General features: G+C 46.6%; 1 protein-coding gene across 11 annotated transcripts in view; it reads right to left on the bottom strand.

The window, feature by feature from the left end:
* The window catches only part of FHIP1B (FHF complex subunit HOOK interacting protein 1B), a 23,292-nt gene continuing 8,933 nt past the window's right edge, over positions 1–14,359 (bottom strand). For 2 of the 11 annotated variants that reach the window (XM_047427687.1, XM_047427688.1), the window contains exons 2-12: positions 13,035–13,316; positions 12,266–12,904; positions 11,736–11,894; positions 11,467–11,553; positions 11,098–11,265; positions 7,627–7,706; positions 7,256–7,419; positions 6,027–6,806; positions 3,389–3,567; positions 3,067–3,229; positions 1–523 (exon numbers count right to left, since the gene is read on the bottom strand). In XM_047427687.1, coding sequence (XP_047283643.1) covers positions 162–523; positions 3,067–3,229; positions 3,389–3,567; positions 6,027–6,806; positions 7,256–7,419; positions 7,627–7,706; positions 11,098–11,265; positions 11,467–11,553; positions 11,736–11,894; positions 12,266–12,904; positions 13,035–13,172 — 2,919 coding nt within the window. In that variant the 5' untranslated portion in view covers positions 13,173–13,316 and the 3' untranslated portion in view covers positions 1–161. Of the gene's footprint in view, positions 633–3,066; positions 3,230–3,365; positions 3,568–6,026; positions 6,807–7,213; positions 7,420–7,626; positions 7,707–11,097; positions 11,266–11,466; positions 11,554–11,735; positions 11,895–12,265; positions 12,905–13,034; positions 13,364–14,359 lie in introns of those variants that run through there. The other 9 variants (XM_006718343.4, XM_047427685.1, NM_001098794.2 and 6 more) reach the window with 6 other exon arrangements.

Here is a 14,359-nt window from a genome sequence, read left to right on the forward strand (position 1 = left end):
TAGAGATTTCCCTTTTATACATATTGCAACAAGTTCTCCATAAAACATTCATCTGAAATAAATTAAAAAGTCCTTTTGCCACTGCCTCCAAACATAAAAAGGAGCCTGTGCCCTAGCCCCAGCCCGGGCCACCCATGGCCCTGATTGTCCATGGAAGAAAGTTAAGGATTGAGGGGCCCACAGCCTGAGATGAGAGGGCCAGATCCTTCCTCTGAAGTCTCCAACAAGAAAGGCGAGGTGACGGCATGAGCCTGGGAGATGGCAGCCAACTCCTTGAGAAATTCAGGGAAAATGACTGCACAGTAGACAGCATTCTTGACTCGAAGAGCCTCACCTTGGCGTTCAGGGGCCCCGCCCCGGGTGAGTAGAACTGGAGTTGAAGCCCCAGGGGAGCCCCCACTTAGGCCAAGTCCTGCTCCGTCTCGCCCAGGCTGAAGGACCAATTGTGCCGCCTGCCGGGCCCTGGTTGGACTGTGTGCATGCCGCAGGAGTAACTCCCCCAAGGATGGCCTCCGGCTCTTCACTGGGAATAAACAGGGGTATCATGAAGGTGCTGGGATCAGGGAACCTCCCTTGGACTGAGAGGGGAGATTCCCCCACCCCCTAGGTTCTTGGACTTCTCCTTTAGGGTTCTGAGGAAATGGAAAAAAGGACAAAATGGACCAGAAATGAACCTCAGGTACCATTTCCTGTCCCATCCCTGAAGTTGACTCTGAGGAGTAGAGTGAGGAGTTCTTTCTCACTCCAACACCAAAAATACTGCCTGCCCAGCCTTTTTCCCTCTATCCAGCCTCCCCACCCAGCCAACCATCCTTCTCAGTCTTAATCAATCAACACTTTAGCCACTTCATTCCCAGTTAAGATCCATTCCTTCTCCATGCCCTCTCACCCTGACGAATTCTCCTATTTCCAATCACTAATCTACCACCACCAAGCTATTTCTCCTCTGTCTATAGCATGCCCTGATTTCATGCTTCCCATCACCCTTCCGAACTAGTCAACCACTTCCCTCTTCCCCAGCCTATCTATAACACCCAACCCACATCCTCTGCTCCTACAATATCCACAGGGGCTATATATGCAATTATAGTTCAGTGACAATTTCACTTCTGTCATGCTCTACTGTCCCTCCAAAATATGCTCTTCACCATTCACCACTTCACCATTCACCAGTCCCTGTCCTGCACCAAAGCCTCTCTCCCACTGGTTGCGGCCAATTTCAAGTCAGCTTAGGCTCAAGTGAGCCATTCAAAACAACGTCCTCTTGCCTCTAACATTCTGCCTAGATTTCTGGGTCTGGATCCATATCTACTATAAAGGCCTAGATCATAATAACAATTCCCATTTCCTACATCTAATACTGGCTACAGAAATACCATACCGAGCTATTAAATTTGGCATTCAGAGCCCTTCACAATCAGGCTCACACTCCTCCTACAATTTCTTTTCAAACTCTCCACACCCCACCTTGCTTTTGCATCCACATCTATCATCTTGGAACCCTTCAGGCACTTTTCATGCGCCTGTAGCTCCCTCTGCCTAAATTTTCTTTTCTCCACTTTTTTCATCATTCTACGTGAAATTTTACTATCCCCACTTCTCTAGGAAGCCTCCTCTGATTTGTCTTCCACTGACTCCCAATTTTACTTCCCTTAACTCAACATACTTAATTTATTTCTATGTCTTCTACCTCATACACTAACCTGTGAACTTAAGGGCCTAGACTGTGTCTTGTCTACCTTGTCTACCTGGCCCCTCTAAAGTGACCCCAGCACCAGAACTGTAGAAGGAAGAAATATTCACAATACTAGACCATGAAGAAACCATGCAAAAGAACTTTACCTGAGACTTCACAGCTGTGCAGTAACTTTTATGGTACTCTCTTCCCAACCCATACACTTTTCTCATTAAGCCTCCATCTCTGCTTTCAGCATATCATTTTGCCTTCTACTTCGATTAGTAAATAATGAATGATGTGAAATCCCTTACTCCTCTACACTTCACAACTACATTGGCACATGTCAATTCCTCCTTGCTCTCTCCTCATTTTCCTCAAAGGGAGAAAAACAAAAAGCCTTTTCCTGTCCAAAGTTAATCTTTTTCTATTGCTCTCAATCCCATTACTCCCAACACCTTTAGGACCTTGCTCCTTCTGGTATTACGTTCCTCTAGTCACTCTCCAGATTGTACATTCTTTGAAGGCAGAAATTACATCTTGTACCTCCCTGAATTCCCTGTACTAAAGACAATGCCCGGCACACATTGCAAATGTTCAAGATACCTGTTAAGCGAAAAGTCTAGATTTAAAACTTCATAACGATATTTAATTCTTCCTCCTTCCTTATACCACTCACCAAACTCCACCAACACTTCCTTCTCATTTCTGCCTCATTAAATGCTTCCCTTCCACGTCCACTATTCTAATTCAAGCCTCCCTGGTAACATCTACATTATAGCAGAAGCCTCCTGATGCTTCCTGACTCTTTTCTCCTAGCTTGACTGCATCTGAGCTAACATACTAATCTCTCCACTTCCAGATTTAGAACTTCCAGTGGTTTTTCACTGCCTAAAACATCCCAACTTCTACTCTGAGAAATTCAGCTCCAGCCAAATCTCTCCAGCCTTACTGCCAATTATTCCACCAACTTTTAAATCCCCTACTCCAACTAAACAGTCCAGGACCTCTCCTGAAAAAAAAAAAAAAAAAAAAAAAAAAAAAGATTCCCCACTCCTTTGCCTACCTAAGTCCTACCCATCTCTCAAGGCCCATGTCAAATGTCATGTCCTTTACTAAGCTGTAATAATATCGCAACCTAGAGACTACTCTGTCCTCTTTCTTGTCCCCAAATTCTAGAGTAGTTTTTGCTAGAACTGCTGATCTGGCTCTTAATAGATAGAACTATGTTCTGTCCCCTGACCAGAAGCCTGAGAACAAACATGAAGACTCAATTTTCTACAACTCACTAGGTCCTGGCACAACATTTCACTCTTAATAAGAGCTCAATTAACCTGGGTTAATAGGCTATCTAGGGAGGGCAGGTACGGGTGTGGTGGGATAGGCCTCACCTAGGGGATCAGAACGGCGTGGGGCAGGTCCTGCTGCAGGGCCCTCAGCCCAGTCCAACTTGCCACGGGCAATGAGGTACTTCTTGGCTTTGGACAGCAGTGCTGGGAAGTCCTCCTGGGAAGCCGCAAAGTTCTCAATCTTATTCTTCACAGAGCCCAGCACCTATGAAGCACACCTTCGTGACATTTCTGAGCAGCTCTAGACTGATACAGTCCTTTCTAGTCCCACTGGGCCTGTTCCCAGCCCACCCAGGGTCACTCCAGCTGCGGGCCTGGCCCACCACGGAGCCTGGACGCACCCATGCATGCATGCATCGCACACCTGCAGCAGGGACTTGACACTGGGCTGGAAGACCATGTTGGTGTTGAGCAGGAAAGAGCGGAGCAGGGGCTGGGGGTGACAGGCCAGCTGGGCCACCAGCCCCGTCAGCAGGAAGTTGACATAGACGGAGTTCTGCAGCATGTTCTCGAGTTTGGCAAAGAGCACAGCCATGAAGGGGCCTGGGTTGGGGGGGAGGTGGGCACAAGGATACAAAGCCTGAACACAATGCACATCGCACGCATTCCTCCCCAAAACAAGAGACCCCCACCAGATGAAAAGTATTTGTATGTCAGCCTCTGGGTATGTTTAAATATCCCGTGGCCACCTATTCTGGAGGAAATAAGATGGCAGACACCATATGGACCCACAAGATTCCAGATGCCAGCTTTACACACATTCAAGCTGACAAGCCAGATCTTAGGCTCTGGACTCTGAAAGATCTGGTTTCACTGGCTTTGCCCTTTACTAGTTTGGACAGGTCAAAATTGTCCAAGCCTTAGTTTCCTAGTTCGTAAAATAGGAAAATATACCTACCTCATAAGGTGATGAAGAGGATCAAAGAGTTATCAATATAAAGCATTTAGCCTCAGATCTGGCAAATTTTAAGTGTTCAGTTATAACCATAAGCTACAATTACATATTGTTTTTATAAAAGATTCACCCAAGAGGCACAACAGAAGAACAAATAGGTTGAGAAAGTAATTAGGTCCAAAAAGAATTAGGTTCCACAAAAAACGGAGGATAACACTAAACCTGCTCAGAAAGAAAGCTAGAAGATGGTGTTGCAAAGACAAAGTAACTATGTGAGCCAATTTAAAGTTAGGGAAAAAAATATTTGGAGGACCAGAGAAGACATCAGTTTTGTCTTTCAGAAGCTGGGAACCAAGACGGTGGAACAGAATATGTAGTAAAAGGATAGCTTAGTGCAGGGGCAGAGAAACTGACTGAGGACAGACTCTTTGGTGGGAGAGAAGGAAGGGAAAGGATCAGCATTATCCACTGGGAAAACTGACCTCAGCTAAGCCAGATCACCAGCAGTAGGCCTCTATAACCATCACAGTCCTTCTGATTAGGGATTTTTTTGGGGAAAGGGAGTATATATCTAAGAACTGTACTATGCATTGAGACAGGAGAATGATGGAGGGCAGGAGGGAGTGAATCCTGAAAAAGATGCTAAAACATTTTTCACTCCAGGTGCACATGTCTAGCATTAGCTTCAAAACAACTCTAGCTTAACAGAGTCCTAAGACGCCCCATAATTTTGTCCTGTTCCTTTCATTTCCTGGAAGTTTCTTGGAAAAAAAAAATTGAAAAGCTCAGATAAGTTTACCAAAGGAAAAAAAGACAAAAGCTTCAATTAATACTTCAAGACTGTGGTAAAACCTGCACGCTATCACCTAGTGGTACTGAGCTGAAAGGAACAGAGCAGAGGCTAAATAAATGGAAAGATAGATTTTCTGTAGGAGGCAAGAAGAGGGAATTGGCACAACTCCATGGCAGAAGCCCTGGTGCTGTATGAGCAGGATGGCCAGCATCTCCCAGGCCCAGTCAGGACATGAACTTATCAAGGCATGACAATCTGACTATGAACAACTGGAAGATGAGTGTTTGCCTTAGTCAACTTAAATCTGCTATGTACCCAGAGATCCTAGTGAAAAGCTACCACTTGCTGAGTTCTCACAATGTGCCATAATTGTAGTAAATGATTTATATGCATCTATGGCAGAGATGGGAGGCTAATGTAAGGTATGCCTAATCCAAGGCCTGTGATCTTAGCCTTAGCTACTACTTCTCAGAGGTGGGTTTGTTTTTTGTTTGGTTGGTTTTTTTGTTTTTTGGTTTTCCTGGCCTGAGGTTTAGAATGGCGGGGTAAGCTGGCTCTCATACAAAAACAAAGAGGAGTTAGTCCAACCACTCAGATCGAGTCTAGCTCCAGGGCATCCTTGAGAGTCCAAATGAACTCAGTCAGGGAGCTCAGGGCCACGCTTTGTCATTTGCCTTCAAAGAAATTGCACTCTATCTGCTTAAGACAGTCTTAGTGCTAGCAGACAGTCACAGCAACCAAGAAGGTACAAGGAAAGCGAACAGGAAAAACTTGAAATCAAGTCCTTCTTTGAAGAGGTGGGGAGGAAGGAGCTGAGTAGGGAGAAAAATACCAGAAGGTTAACCTTAGGCCCCAGGAGAGCTGACAGAAAACCCAAGACCCAGACAGATAAACTGGACGGAATGGCATAGAGAGTGTTTAGGTGCCTCTCCATACAGGACAGCACATACGTCTTCAATATGGTTCAGAAATATTGCTGTGATTCACCAGGAAACATCAAACACAGAATATCCTAATTACAAATCGCAGGAAATGGCCAGACTAGGGAAAGAGGAGGAACATGCACATAGGACATACATACAAGGCTCAGATGTAAGTCAATACTCAAACCAGCACAAGCATGGAAGACGTACAGACAGACACAGGGACACAAGTATGACATGACACGTATCTGGAAGTGATGCAAGCAGGATGGATGAGGGGCTAGGCAAGTACACAGAAATGACATGGCCAAGAGGTCCAAGAAACCAGCACAAACATGTCGAGAACATGCAAAGAGTACACAGAAGGGAAGGCCTAGGCTAAGTAGCTTACCAGTGAAGGGCTGGCTTGGCAGCTGGTTGAGAGTCCGCAAAGGGCTGCTGAGGAAGGGGCCAGGGGGCTCAGGGGGACAGGTGAAGCTCTCGTAGGCCTCCTCCTCCTCAAGGGGCAGTGGAGGTTCTAAGGGGGACTCTGAGCCAGTTCCCCCATTGCTCAATGCCACCTCTAGCTCCCGGAGCTCCTGCCCAAAGCCCTCTAGTCCTGCCATGCCCTCGGAGATGCCCTCTAGCAGTTCCCCAGCTCCCTCCTTTGGCACCAGACGAACCTTCTTGGCCCCCTCAGGCCATGATCCTGGCACTCCATTGAGCTGGGGAGGGGGCAGGTGACCAGGGCCCTCCCCTGCACCCCCAGCCCGCCCCCTCCTCCCCAGCTCTTCCTCCTCCCCTTCCCCCACGTTGTTCCTGTCCTCCTCAGGCAGTAGGCTGCGTTTCTTAGTCCGGGAGCCAAAAGGACTGGGCTCAGGAGAGGGCCGCTCGCCATCATAGGGGGCAGACCAGGTACGGCAGGCTCGGACACAGCGGTCCACACCACGACGTGCCTCACGCAGATACTCCAGGTAATTGTCTTCCAGCTCTCCAGGCTCCTCTGCAGGGGTAGGCCGTCGGCCAGGGCTGGAGGCGGGGGATGCAGAAAGCCCTGGTGAGCAAGGGGCTGGGCCTGGAGACTCAGAGCCACCCAGGCTCTGCTGCCGCAGGAAGAGAGCCAGACGAGATGGTGTGGAGGGCCGGGGTACTGTCGTCACAGAAGAGGAGTCCACACTTGGGCTTCCAGGACCTGCAAAGGGAAAAAATATAAGAGAAATCAAGGAGACAGAGGTTCAGAAGGAGAGATAAGACACCTCGGGAGACTAAGAAAGAAGACAATGGGGAGGCAGAAACATGGAATCTATTCAGACAGCTAACTCTCCAACCTCCTAATTAACCTTATCCTCATCCACCACCCCCACTCACCACCATCACCACTGAAGACACAATGGAAACAGGAAGAGTACACGACTAGAGAGAAGAACAAGAATAGCTTTGCCCAGAAGTCCCACTCTAATTTTCTTTGGTGAGTGTTAAGGGTCCTCCCTGCAAGACACCCTCATCAACCTCCCCAAAGACAGACTATCATTCATGGACACCTTCCTCCCCTTCACCCCAGCCCCTCCTTGCTACGCTCCCCCAGAACCTAGGCCATACCCGTGATGTCCTCCCTTCTCCCTGTCTCTCTGCTAGGCCCACCTCGTGCCCATGAGGCATGCTCTGGACGAGGTGGGCTGGGGGCGTGGTGCCGACAACAGCGTGGGATTAGGGAGAGAAACTTGTCAGCTGCTCGTCCATATAGGTCCACATCACGAACAGCCGGCTTCTGGCTCAGCATAACGTGGTTACATGGAACAAGATACCTGAGAAAGACATCAGAAAGGGGACACAGGGTAGATCAGGAAGGAAGGACAGGGCCTAGAGGAACATCAGGCCAATGAAACTGCATGGTTAAGCCAGGCTCCAAGTGGAAACTCATGAGTAACCCCTATATAGCCCATTGCCCCAGCAATGCATAAGACTCTGAGGCTTCAGGGTCAGCCATCCCTCAGCCCTGCCCCAACAGATACCTGAGAACCAGCTGCAGCAGGACATCCTCACAGCTGAGGTTCAGGAGGGTCCTGAAGAGACTCAGAGAGACCATGCAGAGCTGGGGGGGTGGAGGGGAGGGAGGGAGTCACCATAAGAGCTCTCTGCCCTCCAAGCCATTCACCAAACGGGAACCCCACCAGCCCCAAGTTGGCCCAACCAACCACTCCTAGAGGAACTCCTAGAGGACCATGTACCATGCCTGGCACATAAGTCATTCAAGTATTAGCTAGATGATCACACGATCTTTGCGAGCAAGACTTTGCTATTCATACAAATGAAGCATCTCAGACCCAATGGACTTCTATAGACTCTCTAGCTATATATACCTGGTCAGCAGAGACTCCAGCAACACTTGAACGAAAATCCATGAGAAGAGACTAAGAAATACTGTGATTGAGTGAATGACTAACAGGAGACAACAGAAACATGGTAATTAAGTGAATGCCTGCCAGAAGGGACTGTAGCAATACAGTAACTGAATGCCTACCAATAAGAAACTAGAGGGAACCGGGAAGATTCCCAACTGGGAAGTAGGTGGGGCTGCAAACATGAAGTCTGAGTCACCTCTCTAACACTAGTGTATCTCTCAGAAGGCAGGATAAAGAACAACTCAAGCGCAGCTGACAGGAAAAGGAAAAAGTAGGTGGGTCAAGATTAGAGGAAATCTTTTATTTTAGAAAAGGAAGAAGGTTGGTTCATCTCTGACTAGGTAAAGAAAACACATATGTAACCTTTCCCTCACTTCTCTGAATCTTCCTAGCACTTTCTCTATACTTCCCTTACAGCAAGTGTGTCAGACACCTTGAGCTCCCTGAAGACAACGAATGGGTCTTGGTCTAGGGCACTACCTGAACAGTTTAGGCATTCATTATTTGCTACATGACCACGGGAGAATTAAAAGTCAACCACACAGCAAGAAAAACACGTGACAGCAGTTCACATTTTGAATAGCATGGATGTTCAGGAGGCTATCCTAAATGACCACTTTAGCTAGCAATGAAAAAATTCAGACTCACTGAAAAGTAGTAAGTGGGTAGAAAAGTGGTCCCTCAAAGATGCTCACATCCTAATCTCCAGACCCTAAAAATATTTCACCTCACGTGGCAGAGACGACTTCGCAGATGTGAGTATCCTAGATGAGATTATCCTAGATATCCACAGATAATAGAGATCCATAGATATCTATTATCTATGGATGAAGGGGGGCCATGAGCCAAGGAATCTGGTTGCTCTACAGGCTGAGAATGTTCTTCAGTTGTCAACCAGCAAGAAAACAGAGATCTCAATGCCACAACTGCTAGAAAATTAATTCTGCCAATAGAAATAAGGAAATGGATCCTGTCCTACGGCCTCCTGAAAGGAACACAGACCCCACCCCCCAAAATTTTGATTTTAGCCTGGCGAGATCCAGGTCATACATATGACCTACAAAACTGTAAGACAATAAATCTGTTTTAAGCATTAGGTTTGATAATCTGTTATGACAGCAATACGGAATTAACACAGGCTGGTTAGCCAAAATTAGTCACTTCAAGGCACACAAGGCAGGCTATATACGTTACAAAGTCAAGCCAAAGAATCAAGCTTGAAAGGACCACAGTGGAAAGGAAAGCATCTACATGTTTAACACGGGCATCCTGAAATTAGAAGAGATCTGTTCCTCCAAGAACCAGGAACCAAGAAGAAACATCCCAAGAACATGTAAGGCTCCTAAGACCAGGGGACCAAATGGGAGACTAATAGAAACAACTACTAAAAAAATGAAAGATAGTGAGTAAGAATCAAAGTTAGGATAAGACAAAAGGAAGAAACAACAGATAAAACCTCAAAAAGAAAATCAACTGTCTCTAAACATGAACAGGACAATATGAGGCCAATCATGGCCTAATTTCAGCATAATGAGGGAAAAAAAATACTTTTGGTATCTTTGTAAAATTAAAGCTTTAATACCTATTCCCTATTGGTTCCAATAAATCTTAACCCAAGGCATCTATCATGATTACTTTTTGGAAAATTTTAAAAATACACATGTCCTGAGCCTACTCCCAAAGATTCACGAAATCTGAGGTAGAGCTCAGAATCTGTTGTAGTTGTTAGTTGTCATCTTCAAAGATTCACAGACGTTTCTAAAGTATACACTTGGTTTAGAAACACTGGTTTAATCAGTCAGTCTGGAATATTTCTTATACACCCTAACTTAGCTTCAGAAACTGCACCTATACAAAACACAGCTATCCAGGAAACTGACCTGGAACTCTACTATCTAGTATCTCATTATCTAGAAGTTTTCCAGAGCTCTTAGTGATGAAAGAACTTCTATTTTAAACACATGGATCCAGGAAACTTTAACTTATAATAAAAAAAGGAAGCAAAAATGGTCCCAGAGGCAAAATAAATGCCATGAAGTCCATGGCAAAATTAATGCTTTATTCTCCTAGAGGGGCTTAAGTCTTTATAACTTGGAAACCACCCACTCCCATGTTATATATATTTCTATTTGTTAATATCCAAACTTCTTGCCATGGTCTTCCAGGTCATGCATGATCTGAATTTTACCCCTCTATTTTTATCTCATTCCCTTCTTCCCCTTGCTCACTACACCTCTAGTCTTTCATTTCCTCAAACATGTTAAGCTCTTCCCCCATTTGATGTCCTTTGCATGCTGTTCCCCTTGCTTTCCTGTTCTTCTACTTGATCAATAAGTTAACTCCTTTATAATCTCTATGTCTCAGTTCAATGTCATCTCTTCAGAGAGGTCTTCCTTGGCCACCCTATTATTTCTAAGCACTCTAGTTTTTTCATAACCCTGACCACAACTTATTAATGTGTTTGCTTGTCTGTCTTCTCTACAAAGTAAGCTCCATGAAGTCAGCAACAATGTCTACCTTATTTATCACTGTATCCCCAGCACCAGCAAACAGTATGGCACACAGTGAACATTCAGTAAAAATGTTTAGGAGGAAGGACCGAAAGTAGATAGGTGGGTGGATGAGTGCTCCAAGCTATAGTTCAAAAGCAGCAAATCCAAAGGAGAAAGAAGGCAAGCATATCAGTAGCACCTGGATCACCTACCAAAGCAGACACACAACCTAAAGTGCTCTCAAGTCACCCAAAGCAGGCCACAGAGTGATAAACAGTTTAAGAGAACTCAGGCCAATACTACATTACGAACACTGCACAGTAGCAAAACCTATAGTCATGATGAACAGCCAAAGTCATCCAGAAAAGGTGACTGTGTTCTAGATTCATCTATCATAAAAGCAGGGGAGTAGATTAAAATCTGTACCCAAAATGGTTAAAAGTTTAATGCTGGAAAGTTAATGCCACTTAATTTTGAGGTGACTGCTGGAGATACAGGCAAAAGAAGGGCAGGAATACCCTCCCAGAACAAAGGTCAGAGAAAGAAGATGGGTCATCCAGGTAAGCTAGGACAGGGGTAAGGGCCATACCCGGGAGTTACTGCCAATACGAGCAACGAGGGTGTCGAGGATGGTGTGGGTGTCATGCCGGTGCAACAACAGGAATCGCAGGAAGGTACGGAGCAAAGCAGGCTCTGAGATACTCCGTAGGAAAAGTTCCAGATAGGCGGTACTGGCGATCATCTCCTCCACAGAGGTCTGCACAAAAAGAAGGGAAAGTCTGGAAATGCACAGCTTCCCTGCACATACAGGGCCATTTTCCCTGGATTCTAAGAGAAATCAGGAGCAGACAGGGCAAAAGGGAGGAGTACTCTACCCACCGCCTCCTACGTTAGTCCTGTCACTGAGGTTACCACTGCAGCTTAGCCCCTTATATGCCTTGCCACCCATGACTCTCACCTTGTGCAAGGCAGGACCCATGACAGGCACCAGGAACCCATTATGGATATAATCAACCAACTGCTTCTGCACCAGGGGGTGAGCCACCTGTAGGAGTGCCAGAGAGAAGGGGGAGGGTTATGAGGAGACCACTGCCTGGAAGGGAGTAGAATAGTACACTACAGAGAGGCATCCTACTTCCAAGATGGAAAAATGACAGAACTCCAGGGAATATACCCCCTCCTACCTAATCTCCCAAAAATGACCAAGGGCCAGACTTTCAGTCCTACCTGAATTACTGCATTGCAGAACTCCAGGGAACTCATGAAGAGTGCAAGGGCTGGCACTCCCAGCCAGTCTTCCCGTCGCAGACAGTGCCAATCATCCCCTGGAACCTCAATCTTTCGAGGCAGTGATGAGTACAGGGCACTGAGCCCTGTGGCCAGCACCTATGAGAAGTTACCAAAAGCTCATATATAAAATACATTTATAAAATATAAAAACTGGAACAGGGGAGCTAGTAATCCAGAGTTTTGATGGGAATAGGGGTATAAGCTATTACCAAAGCAAGCATTTGCCTACCCAATGTGCCTGAAACTCACCTAGAATTCACAGGCCTACAAAGAGACTTAGTATCTGCCCTATCCATCTAAGCCCATGATTCATCCCCACTACAACTCCAGGGGGCTGCTTTCAAATCCAGGAACTGTTTCCTAGGGGAACGGGCCCTGGAACATAGCCTCTCCCCATCTCCTGGATAGGAAGGTGCTGTTCAGTATCTACACACCACACCCTACCCTCCAAGCCAGGGGGTGCTAACCGGGCAGAAGTAAGAGTGATCCGCGATGTAGCGGCCCACAGTGGGGCTCCCAGCTGACAAAGCCATGAGAAGAAGTAGGGCATCACGGGCCTGCTGGCCCAGGGTGCCCTCTCGATGCACAAAAGGGACAAGGCGAGAAAAGAGAAGAAGACGGGGAGCGGCTCCAGGCTCAGGAGGTGGCTGCAGGAAGAACTCGAGCAATGAAGGCTCCTGGGCCACACAAACACACAGCTGGCTGAGAAGTAGCACCAAGCCTTCATCCAGTGCTGGGCTACTGGGCACAGGGCGGCCACAGGCATCCAGCAGGGTGAGCAGAGCCTCACGAACTGGACCATGCCGCAACAGTGGCTGGCGAGCTTCGCTCACTAGCATTTCAAATAGTTTCAGTTGCTCAGCCCGCCGTTCCTCGACCCCATCCCCAAGCTCATCCCATTGCAGCTGCCATGTCAACACACGGGTCAGCAGATCCTCGTGCAGAGCAAACTCCAGCAGGGGCCCAGGGCCTGTGGGGGCCGAGGGAACTGCACGGTCCTCTGCCAGCAGTGTCAACATCTGGTAAGTGTGGTTGCGCACAGCACTGAGATCGTCTGCACCCCCAGGAGCTGCCCGAGGGCCTTGCCGCTCCAGGATTCGCACCACCTAGGGAAAAAGGACAGAAGATGGAAGGAATCTAAATTGATAAGGTTACTAAATGGGATGAGGAGAATATAGAAGGCTGGGAGAACTCAGGTGATCAGCAGACAAGGCCCTTTGCCATACAGTCTCCTACCTGGGACCAGTGATTCTTGAAGACCATGAGGCAGGTCTCGGGATCAGCCATGACTGGGGTTTGGAGATTGGCCCCTTGAGGTATACGGTGCCCAGGGCCCCGGGAGGCCAGTCTGCTCAGCCAATTCATCCTCTCCATGAGGCAGGCTGGGCAGGACTGGCAGCCAGAGGCCTACACTCTGAGGATTTGCCAGCTGGAGGTTTTCTCCACTTGTGTCTCCAGTCTGCTTCATCCGGTCTGTAGGAGCCAGTAGCTGCCCATGGAGCCAGAGGTTATACCAGGCTGGAATGGCAAGCCCAGAGGTCACTGGCCAGTCCAGATTTCTAAATCTAATTCAGAGAAGAGATAATGGAAGGGATAAATAGAAGCTCACTTTCCAGAACTCAGAACCACCACTCCACTGAAAACTCCACACACCTATATATACATACACACATACACACAATCAGCAACTGACATGTCTAAAACAGAACTCAGATTTCTACCACCAAACCTGTTACTCCTTCAACTTTCTCCATCTCAAAAGAAAATGATACCAAAATTAACCTAAATGCTCAAGCTGAAAATGTGTACATTATCCTTGTTTTTTCTTTTCCTTACTTCCAATATCCAGTTCATCAGCAAACTCTATCATCTCTACCTTCAAAATATGTCTCACTATTGCAGTAGCTTCCAATCTGGTCTCCATGATTCCTTTACTATCCTCCTAAGAGTTATCAAAACAACCAGAGTGATATTTTTAAAACCTAAATTATATGACCTGTCCTCTGCTGAATACTCTCCAATAATTTCCTAACACACTGTAATAGTTCAAATTCCTTATCTTGGCCTACAGGAGCCTACATAATCTAATCTGTATAACTTCCTACCATTCTCCTTCTCACTCACACTTTAGTGACACAGGCCTTCTTGAATACTTTTTGTTCCCTCTGCCTAGACTAGAATGTCCTTCTCCTGCTTTTCACATTGCTGTCATTGCTCGTTTTGTTTGTTTGTTTGTTTCAAATCATCTCCCCAGATAGGCCCTGCCTAACAATTCTATCTAAATAGCACATCTTCTCACCTTCACTCTCTAGCTTCCTAATCCTTTCTTCTTGGCAGTTTTCACTACCTGAAACTATTTATTTATTTGTCTATCTTCCCCACATTAGGTAGCTTCTTTGAGGGCAGGGTTTGTCTTATTGTGTCTGTTGTATCCCCAGGGCCTAGGGACTCAATAAATATTCGTTGAACGTATTAATGCTGAAGCAAATAAGTGAGTGAATGAATGAATGAATGAACAATCAATCAAGAAATCCAGCCTTGATCTGACTCTAGCCCTCTGG

Source organism: Homo sapiens, chromosome 11, assembly GCF_000001405.40.
Source record: "Homo sapiens chromosome 11, GRCh38.p14 Primary Assembly".
Classification (NCBI taxonomy): Eukaryota; Metazoa; Chordata; class Mammalia; order Primates; family Hominidae; genus Homo; species Homo sapiens.